General features: G+C 37.7%; 1 long non-coding RNA gene across 6 annotated transcripts in view, besides 1 other annotated feature; it reads right to left on the bottom strand.

The window, feature by feature from the left end:
• Positions 1-20,304, bottom strand: part of LOC105374524 (uncharacterized) — a 507,306-nt gene that overhangs the window by 404,878 nt on the left and 82,124 nt on the right. For 4 of the 6 annotated variants that reach the window (XR_007058434.1, XR_007058432.1, XR_007058433.1 and 1 more), the window contains one exon: positions 16,172-16,263. This is a non-coding gene — a long non-coding RNA (uncharacterized LOC105374524). Of the gene's footprint in view, positions 1-3,351; positions 4,722-7,455; positions 8,059-16,171; positions 16,264-20,304 lie in introns of those variants that run through there. The other 2 variants (XR_007058435.1, XR_007058436.1) reach the window with 2 other exon arrangements.
• Positions 2,000-3,199: an enhancer, noted in NCBI's record as "MED14-independent group 3 enhancer chr4:23098384-23099583 (GRCh37/hg19 assembly coordinates)". NCBI's record gives its function as "activates an origin of replication core promoter dependent on BRD2, BRD4, P300/CBP and CDK7 cofactors, and independent of MED14, by STARR-seq in HCT116 cells {active_cell/tissue: HCT116}" and the evidence as "EXISTENCE:reporter gene assay evidence [ECO:0000049][PMID:35650434]".

Here is a 20,304-nt window from a genome sequence, read left to right as displayed (position 1 = left end):
GGAGAAAATATTGGAAGACACATATTATATAAAAGACTTGTATCTGGAATATGTAAATAATTCTTACAACTCAATAATAGGAAGGCAAACAATCCTGCCCCCTCACCAAAACAAAACAAAACAAAACAAAACAAAACAAACAAAAACCTGGATAACTGGATAAATATTTGAATAGACACATCACAAAAGATGATACACAAACAGCATTAAGTACATTAAAAATATTCAACATTATTAGTCATCAGAAAAATGCAAATTAAAACCACAGTGAGATACCATCATAAACCCACTAGAACATGATGTTAATAAGAGTTCTTCAGAGAAATCAAACCAATAAGATGTCTATGTCTATCTATCTAGATATCTACGCATCTAGATATATCTACCTAGATATCTACGCATCTAGATATATCTACCTAGATATCTACGCATCTAGATATATCTACCTAGATATCTACGCATCTAGATATATCTACCTAGATATCTACGCATCTAGATATATCTACCTAGATATCTACGCATCTAGATATATCTACCTAGATATCTACGCATCTAGATATATCTACCTAGATATCTACGCATCTAGATATATCTACCTAGATATCTACGCATCTAGATATATCTACCTAGATATCTACGCATCTAGATATATCTACCTAGATATCTACGCATCTAGATATATCTACCTAGATATCTACGCATCTAGATATATCTACCTAGATATCTACGCATCTAGATATATCTACCTAGATATCTACGCATCTAGATATATCTACCTAGATATCTACGCATCTAGATATATCTACCTAGATATCTACGCATCTAGATATATCTACCTAGATATCTACGCATCTAGATATATCTACCTAGATATCTACGCATCTAGATATATCTACCTAGATATCTACGTATCTAGATATATCTATCTAGATATCTATCTCTATATCTATGTATCTAGATGTATCTATCTAGATATCTATGTATCTATATCTATATCTATATCTAGAAAGATAGAAGATAGATAGATAGACATCTACATAAAGAGATTTATTTTAAGGAAATGGCTCATGCCATTGTGGAGGCTTAGTGAGTCCAAAATCTGGTGGGGGAGAACAACAGACTAGAGATTCAGGAAAGCATAGTTAAATCCAGTGACAGTCTACTGGCAAACCACAAAGAGCTGATGTTGCAGACCACGTTTGAAGGCAGTCTGTCGGTAGAATTCCCTCTTGCTCAGAGGAAGTTGGGTCAACCTTTTGTTCTATTTATGTCTTTGGCTAATGGAAGCAGTCCCACCAACATTATAGAGGACAACCTGCTTTCCTCAAAGTCCACCAAATCAAATGTGATCTCATACAAAACACCTTCACAGAAGCATCTAAATTATTTGACCAAATATCTAGGCACCATGGCCCAGCCAAGGTGATGAATAAAATTAGCCCTCACAAATATCTAAAATTAAAAAGACTGATAGTACCAAATATGGGTAAAAATGTGGAGCAATTCTAACTCTCATAAATTGCTGGTGAAAATGTGAAACAGTACAGGCACTTTGAAAGACATTTTGGCCATTTCTTATAAGTTGATCACATATTGATCATATAACCAAGCTACCCTGCTCCAAAAGATATGAAAACTCTTATCCATACAAAGACTTGTATCCAAATGTATATAATAGCTATTAATAGCCAAAAATGGGAAACAACTCAAATTTTTACCACCTGGTAAATGGATAAGCAATTCATGGTATATTTATATAATAGAAACCTATTCAACAGTAAAAAGGAGCAAATGTGCCACATTGTGGATGAATCTCTAAGACATTATGCTATGAAAAAATGTCATCCACAAAAGACTACATACTGTGCGAGTCCATTTATCTGACATTCTAGGAAGGACAAAAATCAAAGGAACAGGGAACATCACCAGTTACCAAGGATTGAGATAGGATAAGGGGTAGACTGACTTTTGCACTTTATATACTTTTATACAAGAGAACATTTTGGGGGAAGAAATTTTTCCACATCTTGATTATCATTATAGTTACACAACTGCATGCATTTGTCAAAACTCACCTGACTGTCCACTTTAAGAAGGTAAATTTTCTTAATGTAAATTATACTTTGAAAAACCTGTCTTTAAAATAGACTAAGAAATACGTTAACTAATTAGATTATCAAATTATTTAAACAATTAACTGACAATACATTTTTTCAAATTATGAAAGTAGAAATTATTGAGAAAAATGTTCAATAAACATTTGAGATTGTAACATTATTATTTTCTCTTGCCATTAAATTATCCTTTGAAAACCACTTAGCCTATAAAATTAAAGTTGAAAGATTCTCTCTGTCTCTCTGTTGCACACACAGGTGTAACACTCACATACACGTATATGCAACACAGACACAGACTCCTGTAATTTTTGGAAGGCAAAATAAGCGGCCTTGGGATAACCCTAACAAAAATGACATAACAGGAAATGCGTCAGTAAAAACTGGCTTCTTGGCCTGGTTAGTGACTCACGCCTATAATCCCAACACTTTGGGAGGCCGAAGAGAAAGATCACTTGAGCACAGAAGTTTGCAACCAGCCTGGGCAACAGATGGAGACTCTGGGTAAAAAAAATAATAATAAATACAAATAATAAACTAAAAAAATGCTTCTCCCCTTTCCGGTAGTGTGCTATGAGGGTAGCAAGGCACTAGCTAGAAATAAAATGAAGGGAGCCAATTTAAGAATCATGACTTTGGAGGGTAAAATCCACAGCAGTGTTAATACCAGTGACTAGTAAAGGGTTGTTTGGGAGCAGAGGCAGAGGTGGAGGAAATGTGGCAGTTGCCATGCAGTGGTGAAAATTACATGTTCAAGATCTCTCAAGAGGAAGCCCCGGGGTCTTCCATAAATAGTCGATAAGATGTTTTCCCTTCAATGGCAGGTAAGTGTGAGCCAGGGAGATACATTTGACACTAACTCTAATGAGCACGCAAATGTTCCAAAACCTGATGTTTTGATCTTCGATGTAACAGAAGTTGTTTCTACACTAAGCCTTCAAACAAACTGAAAGAAAAAGGATATGCAATGTTTATTAATGCATTTGAATATCAGAGCTGAATGTGTATATTAAACACAGTAGCTATTATTTGCATTTGAAAAATGAAATGATTTTTTATAACAGCTTGGATTTTTAGAGGTTCCAGTCCTGAGTTTTCCCCTGCCTCACTCTGTGATTGGACAAAGCACTTGGTTTTTCTACTTCTTATTTTCTCTGCCAAAGAAAATGAGTGGGTTTAACCAAATAAGAGACTGTAAAATGACTGAATTTAGTACCCAGGCATGTTTTGTTTGGCATTTTGTTTTGGCATATTTATTTGTTTCAAAAAACTGGATATGTTGACAACATTGAAAAGTCAGAAGATTTTATATAACATATAGATCTAATACTGCTCAAAACACCTTGAAAAACTAATCTTTCATTTTGACATGACACCCGATGCCTGGAAGAGAGTTGCAGTAGCCACGTTTAGACAAGGAGTCACTTTCCACTGGCCACAATCCTACTGCTATATGTCACCCACCTGGCTCCATAGGTATGGCCATTCATGATGCCTGGACTAGATGCTACCAGGTTCTTTTCAACTGAAGATGCCATGGCTCCAATCTAAGTATACTGTATATTGCAAAAATGACTGAGAACAGCTACAAAAAGGCTGAAATCTATCAATTTCTTATTTTACTATATAGGCAAAGATCAGAGCTATTGTAGTTTTGGTTCCAGACCATTGCAATAAAGTGAATGTCTCAATAAAGTGAGTCACACTATTTTTGGGATTCCCAATGCATATAAAAGTTACATTTATACTATACTATAGCCTATTAAGTGTGCAATAACATTATGTCTAAAACAACAATGTACATACCTTAAAAATAAAAATATTTTATTGCTAAAATATGCTAATAATAATCTGAGCATTTAGCAAGTTGTAATCATTTTGCTGGTGGAGGGTCTTGCCTTGATGTTGATGGCTGCTGACTCATCAGAGATGGTTGCTGAAGGTTGGGGTGGCTGTGGTAATTTCTTAAAATAAGATGACAATAATGTTTTCTCCATCAATTGATTTTTCCTCTGATGAAAGATTTCTCTGTAGCATGCAACGCTGTCCGACAGCATTTTACCTGCAGTAGTAATTCTCTCCCTAAATTGGAGTCAATCTTCTCAATCCCTGCCACCATGTTATCAACTAAGTTTATGTAATATTCTAAATAGTCATTTCACCAATGTTTAGAGCATCTTCACCAGCAGTAGATTCCATCTCAAAAAACCATTTTCTTTGCTCATTCATAAGAAACAACTCGTTATCTCTTAAAATTTCATCGTAAGATTGCAGCAATTCAGTTACATATTCAGGCTTCACTTCTAATTCTAGTTCTCTCACTATTTCCACCATGTCTGCAGTTACTTCCTCCACTGAAGTCTTGAATCCCTCGATTTCATCCATGAGGGTTGGAGTCAACTTCTTCCAAATTCCCGTTAATGATATTTTGATCCCCTCCCAGGAATCCCAAATGTTCTTAATGACATCTAGAGTTGTGAATTCTTTCCAGAAAGTTTTCCACTTACTTTGCCAAGATCCATCAGAGGAATCACTATCTATGGCCTCTGTAGCTTAGGAAATGTCTTCCTTGAGTAATAAGACATAAAGTCCAAAGTAGTTCTTGATCTATGAAATAGAGAATGGATGTTGTTTTAGCAGGTATGAAAATAACATTAATTTCCTTGTATGTCTCTATTAGGGCTTTTGGGTGGCGAGGTTCATTGTCAATGAGCAGTAATATATTTTGAAAGAAATATTTTTTTTCCAAGCAGTAGGTCTCGACAACAGGCTTAAAATATTCAGTAAACCATGCTATAAATAAATGTGCTGTCTCATCCAGGCTTGCTCCATTTATAGAGCACAGGCAGAGTTGACTTAGCATAATTCTTATGAACCCTAGGTTTTGCAAAATGGTAAGTGAGCATTGGCTTCAACTTAGTTACCAGCTGCATTAGACCCTAATAAGAAAGTCAGCCTGTCTTTCAAAGCTTTAAAGCCAAGCACTGACTTCTCTCTAGCTATGAAAGTCCTAGATGGCATCTTCTTTTAGTAGAAGGTTATTTCACCTACATTAAAAATATGTTGTTTATTGTAGCAAACTTCATCAATTATCTTAGCTAGGTCTTCTAAATAACTTGCTGCTGCTTCTACATAAGTACTTGCTTCTTCATCTTACACTTTTATGATATGGAGTGAACTTTTCCTCAAACCTCATGAATCAACCTCTGCTAACTTCAGATCTTTTTTTCTTCAGCTTCCTCATCATTTTCAGCCTTCTATGAGTTGAAGAGAGGGCCTTGCTCTGGTTTAGACTTTGACTTAAGGAAATGTTGAGGCTGGTTTGATCAGCAATAAGGCTGTTTTGCTTTCTTATCATTCTTGTATTCACTGGAGTAGCTCTTTCCATTTTCTTTAATAACTTTTCCTTCATATTCTTTTTTTTTTTTTTTTTTTTTTTGAGACAGAGTCTTGCTCTGTCACCCAGGTTGGAGTGCAGTGGCGTAATCTCGGCTCACTGCAACCTCCGCCTCCCGGGTTCATGTAATTCTCCTGCCTCAGCTTCCCGAGTAGCTGGGACTACAGGTGCCTGCCACAATGCCCAGCTAATTTTTGTATTTTTAGTAGACACAGGGTTTCACCATATTGGCCAGGCTGGTCTCAAACTCCTGACCTTGTGATCCACCCACCTCGACCTCCCAAAGTGCTGGGATTATAGGCGTGAGCCACCGTGCCTGGCCTTCATTTGTATTTTTTTTTTTATACTTTAAGTTCTAGGGTACACGTGCACAACGTGCAGGTTTGTTACCTGTTTGACACAAAGGCTTAGTTTTCAACCTATCTCAGCTTCTGGCATGCCTTCCTCACTAAGCCTAATCATTTTGATTGAAAGTGAGAGGTGCACAACTCTTCCTTTTACATGAACATTTAGAGGCCATTTTAGGGTTATTAACTGGTCTAATTTTAATATCGTTATGTTTGAGGAAATAAAGAGGCCCCTGCAAATGGAGAGAGATAGGAAAACGTTTGGTCACTGTAGCAATCAGAACATACACATTTATCAATTAGATTGGTTATCGTATATGGGTGTAGTTTGTGTTGCTCCAAAACTATTACAATATTAACAGCAAAGATCACTGATTAGAGATCATCATAACAGATAAAATAATAAGAAAGTTTGAAATATTGTGAGGATTGCCAAGATATGAAGATACAAGAAGGAAGCATGTAGACTTGCTCAACACAGGATTGCCATAAATCAATTTGTGAAAAACACAATATATTCAAAGTGCAGTGAAATAAAGTATAATGCCTATTGCTGCTACAACATCCCAAATACCTTTCTTCTGATCAGAAAGTAGCTTCCAAGGAAGCAATTTAGCAAGAAAAATAAAAGGAAATGTAAGACACCAAGGGAATGTGTCTATTGCTCAGTAGCCAACAACAGACTACCAAACCATGCTAAGACTTCCTAACCTGACCAACTACTTCAGCAATTGACAATGCTAAAGATTAGCATTTGTCCAAAAAGATTAGTATCATAATTAAATTCAATGGAAAAAATATTTTTGAGTACCAGCTCAAGACTAGACTCTGCTACATAGCACAATTAATAGAGGAATGAGATACAATTCCTGCCTTTATAGCCTGGGACACTTAAATGCAAACTTAAAATGTATAATTTATATAACATAAATATATTTATTTTAAACATTTAATAATTACAAAATATTTTAATAAATGTATTAATAGATATGGTACGGAGGTATAATAAACAAAAGGTGGCTCTCCAGAGCTTTTGCATGTGCCGTTTCTCCGCCTGGATCAATTTTCACCCAGTTTCCAAGTAATTCATTTTTTCTCCTCTCTCATACATTTGTTGAAATGTCTTTGTTGATTAGCCTGTTTAAACTGAAACTGCCCAAATCCCCAAGACTGGCATCTTGTAATTTCTTTCTGCTTTATTTTCTTTATAGCACTAATGAGCATTTTTCATTCTGTATATTTTACTTATTTGTTTTGATGACTGTCCTTGTCTCGTAGTGGAATGTAAGCTCCATGAAGGCAGGTTTTTTTTTAACTGTTTTTTTTTTTTTAATAATCGTTTCCATATCTCCTAGAATAGTGCCTGGCACATAGAAGTCATTGGGTAAATATTGGTTGAATTATTCAATGCCTGAAGTAATCAGTTATGCTCAGGAAAGGCAGAGCAAACTTCCTGAAAAGATGGTGTCAAATAAGTTATAAAGAATGAATAAATGTTCACTTTGTTCCCAGTTGACAAACTGGGAAGAGAGCATGTTATGAAAAGAGGGTAGTGTGTGCAAGAATGTGTGAAAGATCACTGCATACTCCGGGAGAGTATGTATTTAGGGTTATTACATGTTTATTACTATTTTCAGAAATAGTTTAATAGTGCAATTGTTACAAGTTAGAGCTCCAAAAACTGTTGGTACTCTTACAAGCCCTTATAGGCAATGCTTTATTTCACTTTCATACATGTAATTGGAATCTACCACATTTTGCAGATGAGGAAATTGGAGTTCTGACAGGCTACATCTTGCCCAAAGCCACGTGGCTAGTAAGTACAAAGATGACAGTTTAGATTTGCTTGGTGGCTTCAAACCATGTTCTTTTCACAGGTAGAAAGCCCTACTGGACTACTTCTTTGCTGACTCCATCATAAATTAACCAGAGGTACACCTTAATAAAGTGCACGGATGCTTTTCATGGCTTTGAATCTTTTAGGAACATCTTTATAAGGCACATACATCTCAAAGAAACTGGATAGCATACAAAATCTTCATTTATTTAGTATAAAATGATTTGCTTGCAAGTCAAATTAATGCTTCCTCTCCCAGATTCCGTTTGTTTATCTGTTTGTCTAAAGACAAACATGAACTCTCTGATATGAGGCCAAAAGTTTCAGCTAAGTCTCCTTTGTTGTTTGCAAGAATTCTTTATGCTATTTTAAAAGAAAAAGAGGAAGGGGAAGTTAGAGAGAGAGGAAAAGATAACTTCTCATTTCAGAACATACTAATCTTGTGTCTCTAAGGACTGCTATTTGGCATTTGTTTAGCTGGTGCTGATTTGGAAACCAATTGAATATACAGTGTTTATTTCAAACCATTACTTTCCTCTGCCACTCTGATTTTTCTGGGGAATATTTGCATTTAGATGCTATCTGTATAAAGTAAGGGATATGACCATGAACAATTTGAAGACAATGAGAAAAAACAGTTAAAGCAAAGTAAAAGAAAATGCAGTTACAAAAGGAAGAAGTGACGAGATAAAATGAAAAAAAGAGGGCTCACTGACTGAGCTTCACATAAAATAATGAAAAATCAAAAGAATAAGGACAAGTCAAAGAAAGAGTAAGGACAAGTCAAAGAAAAATCAAAGGCAATGAGGGTGCTATTTTTGTATATTAAAACATAATTAATATTCATCACATTCTTTAAATGGGAAGTGGAAAATTGAGGGAGACAGAAAAGCAAAGGAAAGGAGTGAACAAATGGTTCAAGATAATAAGGAGAAAAACAGAGCAATGGAGATAATTGGAAAGATTGTATGGCCAAGGTTGAAGTATAAGCAGTCCAACTGAATGCTATTTTTATAATGTTAGAAAGTACTGCCAGAAAAACAGTAATTCATTCACTTATTCATTCTTTCATTCAGCCTGTGTTTGGGGAGTACCCACTGTTTACCAGGTCTTTGTGCTAGATCCGGGAAACATGAAGATGAATGGGCAGTATTTCTTTCAAGAAAATTAGAATTGGACACTCTGATTATGATTTAATCCTTTGAGTGGAAGTAAGGCATTCAGAAGTCATTTCATATGACTGAAAAAATTACTTGAATGTGTATATACTTTAAACGTAATTAAATATGATTAAAAATGACACCTTTTGACCTATACCTGTCATTCGGTGAAACCTGTGTATGTCACAGCTTCCAATGACGGAAGGGGCACAGGATGAGGAAAAGTGCTGAGAAGGAAACGTTGTGACTTCTAAAGTTTTTTTAATAATAAGAGCATAGGTCTCACTCAAGTCATATTTTAACAGAATAAATGGGTTGCATGTTTTCTGGGAGTCATTCATAGAACCAGAGGAGACTGGATGAATACATGCACGCATGTCGGGGAAGAATGTATTTTAACATACACAATAGCTGATTACATCGATGTTAGTGAAGATCTGAATTATGTTGAAGGAAATTAACAAAAGAGTGAGTCAAAGAGGAAGTGCTGAGTGTTAACAGGTACTCAATAAACCAAGCTCTAACTGGAGAAAATGAGTTCTGCGTCAAAGCCCAAAATATTATCTGGAACAGCTTCCTAATACTCCCTGCATCTTCAGTCTTTGATATTACATTCATCTTTCTTACTGATGCATGATTACTCTGCCTGGGCCACAGATCTGGACTGCCCATAGCAGTCTCCTACTTGATTATTCTCAATGAATTGTGCATTCAAGATCATCCAACATCTGACCCTACCCTCTCTTTCCAATTCTCTCATTTTATCCCTTGGCAAACTGATCATTTCCTAATCAGAGGGAGCACCTTACAATTTTCTACTGCCAAGCTTATGTGTCTTCTGTTCTCTCTGCCTCCTTCTTTCCATTACTTCATGCTCAAATCTGACCCATTCAAGACCCAGTTCAAATGTCACTTTTTCCATGAAATCTTTCTTGATGTTCCCAGATGGAAATAACCATTTCAGTCTCTGAATTCCTAAAGGACATTCTGTGTTCTTTGTCCATGGCATTTACTCTGCTTAGGTTAAAGCAATTTATGCTTAGCTCCCTTTCTAGATTATAATCTTTTTAAAGGAAGCACATATTTCTGAGTAAGAATTATAATGCCTAAATGGTGCAAAACCAAACATGTTTATAAATGACTAAATTAACAACTGGAAAGAAGATCACATAGGTGGGACTCAATGAAGAGAGTATGATGGCATCAGAAACGGGCAAACAGCAGCTGGTAAAGGGTGTGACAATAATTAGGAGATGATTATTAAGCTGTAAAACCGGTCCTGAAATACCCAGAAATGCTATAATATTGACCAATACTAGGAACTATCTTAAACTGCCACCATCAAATTTACATGTAATACAAATTCCACGTAATTAATTCATTTATTAAACAATATCCAATTCAAAAGTTACATTTGTTTTTGTTACTGTACGTTTGTAGAGAAATATTTGCTGAGGTTATCACGTGTTTATCCATTTGTGATACATCAAAAAACCTTCATATAAAAGAAATAGTACATCTGCTCCTAATTTCTCATGTTTGTTTCCTCTCCTTACATCTTTATTTTCATAACTGTATTTGGAATATTTATGAATAATTCCATCTTTTAAGCCTGACAGCATTAATTTTATCAGACCAGAGAGCCTCCCCATGTATCTCTGGCACATTCTAGAGTCAAGGTGATTAGCCCAGCAGGGGTCTGAAGAAGTACTCATAAGACGCTTTTTCAGAAACCCTCACTGCTGGAGTATCATTTTAGTCCCTGCACAACTGTAACCCAAACTTGCAAGGCTTGTACATAACATTTTGTCATATATACAGTAAATGTATATAATGAATTGAATTTCTTAAACAGATATTACAAAGCCGTAGTAGCAAATACTTTACTAAAATGCTAAACAGCATTCAACTAGATAAGTTTATCCCCTTTAGAATAGTTACCATGACAGGCTGGGCTTGGTGGCTCATGCCTGTAATCCCAGCACTTTGGGAGGCCATGGCAGGCGGATCACCTGAGGTCAGCAGTTTGAGACCAGCCTGGCCAACATGGTGAAACCCCGTCTCTACTAAAAATACAAAAATTAGCCGGCCGTGGTGGCATGTGCCTGTAATCCCAGCAACTCAGGAGGCTGAGGCAGGAGAATCACTTAAACCCGGGAGGTGGAGGTTGCAGTGAGCCGAGATCATGTCATTGCACTCCAGCATGGGGGACAAGAGTGACATTTCATCTCAAAAAAATAAAAAATAAAAAATAGTCACCATGACAGTATGTATATTCATTCTAGTATTGGAGCTGTTGCTCACAACCTCTCTGCATTCAGAGTCTTTGGGGTTATACAGTTGACCCTATGGAGAAGTTTGGGAATCTTCTCTTTTTCCTTGGCCCTGTGTTTCCATGAGGCAATTTTAGCTAGAGTATAAATCTGGATTGCCTACTCCACTTCAATATCTCTTAGGGAGGAAGAGTGAGTTCCCGTCTGTTAGGTGCCCTTAATTGGTTCATGTTTCCCATTTGGCTGTAATGAATCTAATAAAAACCTGTAAACACTAGGGACTGTCATCCTATTCTCTCTCCTCCCTGGATTATTGCAGAGCAGCTACCCTGGATTGTCCAGGATGTGCACACAGGTCTGATCACCATGAGTAAGGGGCCTTCCCCTGCCCTAGAAGTCTTCTGGTATCCCAGCAGTCAGTGATCTGGTAGGTCATTTGGTCTCATTCTAGGGCTGTTGGATTAGCAAGCTTGCATTTCCACAGACCTTGTTTGACATTAGTACTGTAAATGTAGGAAGTTGCTCTATAAATATCTAACTCCAACATCCATTTCTACGTTGGTTGCAGGTTCAAGAAGGGGCTGGCCATGGTGGCTCACGCCTGTAATCCCAGCACTTTGGGAGGCCGAGGCAGGTGGATCACCTGAGGTCAGGAGTTCGATACCAGCCTGGCCAAGATGGTGAAACCCCATCTAAACTAAAAATACAAAAATTAGCCAGGCATGGTGGTGTGCACCTGTAGTCCCAGCTACTCAAGAGGCTGAGGCAGGAGAATTGCTTGAACCCAGGAGGCGGAGGTTGCATTGAGCCAAGATCGCGCCACTGCACTCCAGCCTGGGTGACAGAGTGAGACTCCGTCCCCCCAAAACAAACAAACAAACAAACAAATAAATAAATAAATAAATTCAGTGAGGGAAGATACAGATGTTATGTATTAGCACCCTGAAACTCCAACAGTATTATTTATAACATTTTTATTCTTAACGAATCTACCTTCTTTTAGGGTGCTTTACATTTTGATACAGCCAAAGATATTTGGTCATTCCTTGGGTACTATGATGGGTGGGATGGGTAGAATGGTGGGTGGGATGGCTGGTGATAAAATTGAGTGATGCAGTTTATAACTACAAACTAGTGAGATTGGTAGTTTTGTTTGATTCCTTAAACCAGCACTGAATGCAGATTTTTAAAATGAGTTTTGAGTCATAGTGGCATCATTAGCATAGCATCACCTTTAGAGCCTCCCAAGGTGATGAGTTGGAATGATAGCATGCATTTGGATGTACAATTCCAATAACCTTATTAAAATACTAATCACAGTACTTCATAATTACACTTGGAACTTAAGAAAAATTGTTGCTAGGTGCTTCAAGGTGCTGCAATACTGGGCTTGACATCCCTCAGCTATGATTTGGCCTCTCATGAAATTCTTTTTACAATACTGTGCTTTGGCACTTGGCCCACAGGTTTGGCTGAGAAACACTACAAGAAAAGTTTTACTCCTACTTGCCACTCTATTTGTGGCAGCCATATCATTGACAGTATGTTCCATGACATTATACCATGTTCCCCTTTTGAGGGTCTACAAATAAACTCTAGATGAATGTATTACAATATAGAAAAAATAATTCCTGTGTAAGCCAATTTTCTTTATGTTTTTTTCCTGTCGTATTGTATGTTTTTACATCAAAAGGCATTAAGCCCCATTTAACCAAGTGGAACAGAAATAAATAAATGTAAAGAAGTGAGGGAAAACTGCATTTATCTAAAGGGCTCTTATGAATATTATTAAATGTTCTTGGAAGAAAACCTATTATAAGTCTCTTGGTGCAGGGGCAAGATCTAAAAGACAAGCTCAAATAAAAACAAGAGCAAGAGCAACAACAACAACCATTTATTGAGTTCTGAAGATGGCTGTAATAGCATATGGAGGGTAAGAGGGTGGATATAAGTGCCTAACTACCTGAGTTAAAATTCCATCTCTGCCTCTTACGGACTGTGTGACTCTCTGGTCCTCAATTTCATCCTATGTAACATGAGGATGAAAAACAAAACTGCAAAATACTGACCTCATAGTATCACTGCTAGGATTATCATTAAATGCTTACTCTGTTCCAGTTATTGTTCTAAGGGCTTAAATGTCTATCTCACTGCGATGTCATTTCAATTGTATCAGGTAGGTAATATATATCCATTTCGAAGACAAGGAACAAGAATGTACTTTCAGGAGGTCACATAGACAGCAACTGGTAGTTAACAAAAAGAAAAAAATGATCACTAAATTGCATCCAAGAAAATAATAGGCCGAGTTAGCTCCAGGATTTTGTTTTTTTGAATGAGGGTATCTATGTTTGAAATAAGAGGAGAGTTGCCCAGGGCAGTAAGTGAGACACTGAGCACTGTAGAGGAGTTCTGAGAAGACATGTGTGTCTTCTCTCAGAAACATGAGAGATCAGAATTGTCAGATGACACAGCGCTAAAGATGGCTTGTGCTGAGTGTGCAATGTTCTTCAGTAAATGTGCAGAATATTGAATAAAAGTCTCAGTTGTCATTCCCCTACTAGCATACTTACATACCCACACCATTTTCATGGCCTTGTGGTAGGATTGCGTTTACAGTTGGCCCTTGAACGATATGTGTTTGAACTGCACAGGTCTACCTATATATGGATTTTTTTTTTCAATTAAAGTCATACCTAGTATGCCTGCCTCTCTTGATTCCCTTTCCACCCCCTCTACTTCTCGTGCCTCTGCCACCCCTGAGATAGGAAGATCAACACCCCCTCCTCTACCTTCCTCTCCTCAGCCTACTCAATGTGAAGTTGATGAGAATAAAGACTTTTATAATGATCCACTTCCACTTAATAAATAGTAAATATATTTTCTCTTCCTTGCGATTTTCTTAAATACATTTTCTATTCCCTATCTTACTTTATTGTAGGAATACAGTATAGAAGACATATAATATATAGAATACATGTTAATTGACTATTTATGTTATTGGTAAGGCTTCCTCTCAACAGTACACTATCAGTAGTTAAGTTTTGGAGGAGATAAAGTTGTATGTTTGTTTGTTTGCTTGTTTTTTTATTGTGCAGGGGTTGGTGCCCCTAATACTTGCGTTGTTCAAGGGTCAACTAAATATCCCGCCCAATAATTAATTGTTCACATTGTTTAGGTCAACAGGATGTTATTACATGTGATGTAAGCAAACGTTTAATGTGCTAATGTAGTTGCTTTTGTCATCACCATGCAGAGAACATATCCCAGGTAGCCACAGCTCCTCCAGCCTGCAGTTCGGAATGAGACACATCAATTAGACCTGCTACTGGATCCAAGCCCTGTCAGTTCACAGTCTGAAGCAGAACTTCCCAGCTGACCCTCAGACGTGTGAGTAAATAAATGTGCTTTAAATAAAATAAATACATATAAATAAAATATCAAAATAAAATAAATTTTAAAATAAATAAAAATTTAAAAATATGTAAATAACATTAAATAATTTAATTAAATATGCTTTAAATAAAAATACTTATATTTGTAAGTGCAGTGACTTTTGGCACCAAGTACCTGTAGTTAGGTCAGACTTCACAGATGAAGGGCATAGTCCTCTTTAAAACAGCCTTCACTTCAGACACCAGCCACAAGGTTAGGAGTCCCCAGGCCACCCTCACTTTTGACCAACTGGCTACAAATCCACGCGTTCCCACTTCCTCTATGATTCATTAATTTGCTAAAATGACTCATAAAACTCAAGAAAGAACTGTATTTATAATTGTAGTTTTCTTATAGCATAAGAATACAAATCAGCACTAGCTAAATGTATTGACACAGAGCAAGGTCTGAGAGGCTCCCAAATATGGAAGCCCCACTGTCCTCTCTTCATGGAGTCCAGAGTTCCCTTTCTGGCACATCGTTGTTTGACAATGCTCAGAATATTGTCAACCAGGGAAGTTCACTTAAGCTTCTGTGTCCTAAGTATGAGTGATTGAATCATCCCCATGTCACTCAATCTACAGTCAGCCTCCTCTCCCAAAAAGTCAAGATATTATCATATAGCTCACAACTCAACCATCCAAACATATGGTTGGTCTTTCTGGCATGACCAATCTCCCTTCTGAGTGAACTCTCAGGGCCCATCATGAATAACAAAGCCACTTCTATGGCTCAGGAAATCCCCAGGACTTAGAGGCTACCACCCAGGAACTGGGGACAAAGGCCAGTGAAATTCTTCATTACAGAGTAAGCCACTGAATCTTTGGTGTGGTTTGTTACACTACATTATCCTGGCAATAATTGACTTCTACAAAATGTCCATTACAAAAAAAACACCACATGCCACGCTAGTTTGAATTTTTTATGGAAAATATCAATGGAGATGAGGAAACAGATGACAAGATGATCACATATTTGGGTCTCATATTTAAATAGATGAATACCCACAACCATTTTAAAATACGTTGAGCTTGAACTCTCATTCTAGAGAAAAATATTGAAAGGATGGCTTTTGTTTTCTATAATCTGTTATATTTTATCTGTCTCCCTTCCTTTGACGTAAGCCTTGAGATTTCTTTGGGCTAAGGATGAAATTTATATTCTTGATAAAAACTTTTTCTCATTAAGGGATAGTTATCATTACTCATCATGACATTAAATTAATGTTAAAGAGGAAATAGTTTATTCCAAATTCAAGTAGGGTAGTTATCTAATTAGTACTAACATTAGTATTAATTAGTTAGTATTAGTACTAACATTAGTTCTAACTAGTGCTGACATTAAATGTTAGTACTAATTAGCTAGTTATCTATCTACTTAGAGTTATCTAATTAGTACGAACATTCAATGTTCTAGAATATGCTTTACCTGAGAGTTGTGAAGACTCACCCCTAAAGTGTCACTAGTGATTCTTCTTTCCTTAATGCATCTAGAGACATAGCTAAACATGGTTTCATTTTAACTTTCACAGATACAGTGTAGTGGCAAAAAAAAAAAAAAAAAAAAAAAAAAAAACTCAAAAAACAAAATATAGGATTTCTAGCCTACCTGTCAAGAAATTCATCATAGAGGCTCTGTTCTTCATGTGCTGTGTGATTTTGAGCAAGTCACTTCTTTTCACTAGACTCCAAATTTTTCATCTGTAAAATAAGAAAGACCAGCAGATCTCTGAGTTTCCTAACAGGTCAATTAATTCCATTTCTCTCTGAATTACCAGTGTGACCTTGGGTGAATCATTAAACATCTTTAAGCCTGACTTTCTTCATATCTCCTCCTGCACACTCCCTCATCCCAATTAACGGCAAATGTACCCTTAGAGTCATCCTTGACTCCTACCTCTCATACCCCACATTCAATCCATCAGTAAACCCTGTGGGTGGAAACTTCAAAATATACTCAGAATCCAACCACTTCTCATCATTGCTACATCATGTTCAAAGCTACCGTTTCTCTGGTCTAAAAAATTACAATATAAAAATATGATGAGAGTTTTATATGCATTTTTTGCACTAATCTTTAAAATCATCTTTTTATTTTGCACTAGGTCTTTTTGCAAAAGTCTTTAGTGTGTTTTGTAAGACCACATCTCAATTTGGACTAGCCATATTTTAATTGCTCAATAGCCACATGTGATTAATGGCTACTCTATTGTGCAGCATAGGTCTAAAGTCAAAGAACATTCTCCTGCCTAATTAATGTCCTTATTTTAATATTCCAAATAGAACTCTTTGCCTCAAATTCAGTTTCATGTTCTAGTGGGTTATTACCACCAGCAATAACACCCCTATACCCTTGCTTCTGCCAGTCTCTTCTCACTTTGTTTCTCTCTCCTTGGGACTTATCTGCTATTCTTCTCCAAATTGATTCTTGCAAAAGTGCTCATGACTAACAATAACTTGATATATCCCCTTATTTATTCAGCAATCCTTTACTTAGCCTCTGCTACCAGCCACAAAGTGTTATTTTCCCCAGACAACTGCTTACATAAAGAAGAACCCTGGGGATACTCAACTGCTACCCAGTGGGATGAATGAGTCTCTAATGGTAAGATTCACTATGGCTGTACTGTTGAGTTAGGGGTCAGGGTAATAAAAAAGAGAATAATTTAAGTCATAGGTGATGGTTTTCTTGTTCTTTATTGTCATAAAAATAGTTGCTTTCTCTACATATGCATGAAAAGAGTTAAGACAGATGTTCCTTTTCTTTTCCGATTCATTTATTAGTTCGTAATCTACTGGTCACCGTTTATCAAGCAGTAAGCACCGCAAAAAGAAAGTTATATGTTCTTCATCCTTGTCAAACAAGGAAATTAGAATGATTTCTCTTGATGACTTCTCAAGCTGCCATCCCATCTTGCTAAAGTGCAGGTGCAATGAGAAATTTTATTTAGGTTACACACATACTTACTTACATACCATGCATGATTTAAGTGGGCATTTTACTGCAACTTCTTTCTAAATTCTTAAAGCAAATTGAGTTGCCAAAATGCTAAAAAGCCATTTTACCAAGTGTTGAAGTGTAAAAGTCATCTGGAAACTTTTTTTCCTTCCCTGGTATTTCAGAATCATTGGGTGATAGAATCTGAGGAGACCCTTAGAGATCATCTAGCCCCAGGCTCTTGTTCCATAAAAAATCTCTGCAGGTCCAAAGAGGATAAATGGCTTTTCTAAGAACAAAGAGTTGTAAGGGATGGTACTGGGACTGAAATTTTATACTTGTTTTTGTTATGTTTAGCTCTTTCTACAAAGAAAATATGAACAGGTCTGTCTTTGTCTTTTTACTCTTGCTCCTCTGAGAATTACACAATATTGAGGGCATGGTGGATTCCTGCCCTAAAAATGTGGGTAACATGCAAGCAACCAAGAAGCCCTCCAAGGATATATTGCATTACACCCTTTCCCATAGGCATAGAAGAGGTTGTGAGGTCAAGAGAGAGAATCTCACGTTGAGACACAGGAGGGCACCAAATTATCTCTTTGCACTGGAATTATCTATCCACTTCTGGGGTGGAGAAAAAGCTACAGTTGACTGGTATGCTTGAGGGTGAATACAGAAAGATGGAACTTCTCACAATACTGATTTGCTGATATGGTTAGGCTGTGTCCCCACCCAAATATCATCTTGAATTGTAGTTCCCATAATCCCACCTATCATGGGAGAGACTCAGTGGAAGGTAATTGAATCAAGGGGACAGTTAAACCCCACGCTGCTGATAGCAAGTGAGTTCTCACAAGATCTGATGGCTTTATAAGGGGCTTTTCACTCTTTTTCTTGGTACTTCCTTTTCCTGCCACCATGTGAAGGATGTGTCTGCTTCCCTTTCTGCCATGATTGTAAGTTTCCTGAGGCTTCCCCAGTTGTATTAGTCCATTTTCACTCTGCTGATAAACACATACCTGAGACTGGGCAATTTACAAAGGAAGGAGTTTTAATGGAGAACTCACTGTTCCACATGGCTGGGGAAGCCTTACAATCATGGAGGAAGGCAAGGAGGAGCAAGTTGCATCTTACGTGGATGGTGGCAGGCAAAAATAGAGAGCTCGTGTAGAAAAACTCCCATTTTTAAAACTGTCAGATCTCGTGAGACTTTTCACTATCATGAGAACAGCACAGGAAAGACTTGCCCCCATGATTCAATTACCTCCCCCCAGGTCCCTTTCACAACATGTGGGAATTCAAGATGAGATTTGGATGGGGACACAGCCAAACTGTATCACCAGCCATGTGGAACTGTGAGTCAACTAAACCTCTTTTCATTATAAATTACCCAGTCTTGGGTGTGTCTTTATTAGCAGTGGGAGAACAGACTAATACAGTAAATTGGTACCAGGTAGTGGGGTGCTGCTATAAAGATACTCAAAAATGTGAAAGCAACTTTGGAACTGGGTAACAGGCAGAGGTTGGAATAGCTTGGAGGGTTCAGAAGATGATAGGAAAATGTGAGAAAGTTTGGACCTTCCTAGATACTTGGAGGGCTCAGAAGACAGGAAGATGTGGAAAAGTTTGGAACTTCCTAGAGACTTGTTGATTGGCTTTGATCAAAATTCTGATAGTGATATGGACAATAAAGTCCAGACAGAGATGGTCTCAGATGGAGATGAGGAACTTTTTGAGAATGGGAGCAAAGCTGACTTTTGTTATGCTTGAGCAAAGAGACTGGCAGCATTTTGCCCCTGCCCTAGAGATCTGTGGAACTTTGAACTTGAGAGAGAGAATTTAGAGTATCTGGCAGAAAATATTTCTAAGTGGCAAAGCATTCTAGAGGAAACACAGCATAAAAGTTTGGAAAATTTGCAGCCTGATGATGTAATAGTAAAGAAAAACCCATTTTCTGGGGAGAAATTCAAGCCTGCTGCAGAAATTTACCTAAGTAACAAGTTTCCCCAGAACAATGGGGAAAATGTCTCCTGGCATGTCAGAGCTGTTTGTGGCAGCCCTTTCCATCACAGGCCTGGAGGCCTAGGAGGAAAAAATGGTTTCCTGGGCCATGCCCAGGGCCTTGTTGCTGTGTGCAGCCTAGGGACTTGGTGCCTTGCATCCCAGCCGCTCCAGCCATGGCTAAAAGGGGCCAAGGTACAGCTCGGGCCATGGCTTCAGAAGGTGCAAGCCCCAAGCCTTAGCAGCTTCCACATGGTGTTGAGCCTGCAGGTACACAAAAGTCAAGAACTGAGGTTTGGGAATCTCTGCCTGCATTTTAGAGGACGTATGGAAATGCCTGGGTATCCAGGCAAAAGTTTGCTGCAGGGAGAGAGCTCTCATGGAGAACCTCTGCTATGGCAGTGCAGAAGGGAACTGTACGGTCAGAGCCCTCACACAGAGTCCCACTGGGGCACTGCCTAGTGGAGCTGTGAGAAGAGGGCCACTGTTCTTCAAACTACAGAATGGTAAATCCACCAATAGCTTGCATTGTGCACTTGGAAAAGCTGCAGACACTCAACATCAGGCTGTGAAAGCATCCAGGAGGGGAGCTGTACCCTGCAAAGCCACAGGGGCAGAGCTGCCCAAGGCCAAGGGAGCCCCCCTCTTGTATCAGTGTGACCTGGATGTGAGACATGGAGTCAAAGGAGATCATTTTGGAACTTTAAGGTTTAATGACTGTCCTACTGGATTTTGGACTTGCATGGGGCCTGTAGCCCCTTCATTTTGGCCAATTTCTCCCATTAAGAACAGATGTATTTACA

Source organism: Homo sapiens, chromosome 4 (genome assembly GCF_000001405.40).
Source record: "Homo sapiens chromosome 4, GRCh38.p14 Primary Assembly".
Taxonomy (NCBI): domain Eukaryota; kingdom Metazoa; phylum Chordata; class Mammalia; order Primates; family Hominidae; genus Homo; species Homo sapiens.
This window is presented reverse-complemented; position numbering and strand designations above follow the sequence as displayed.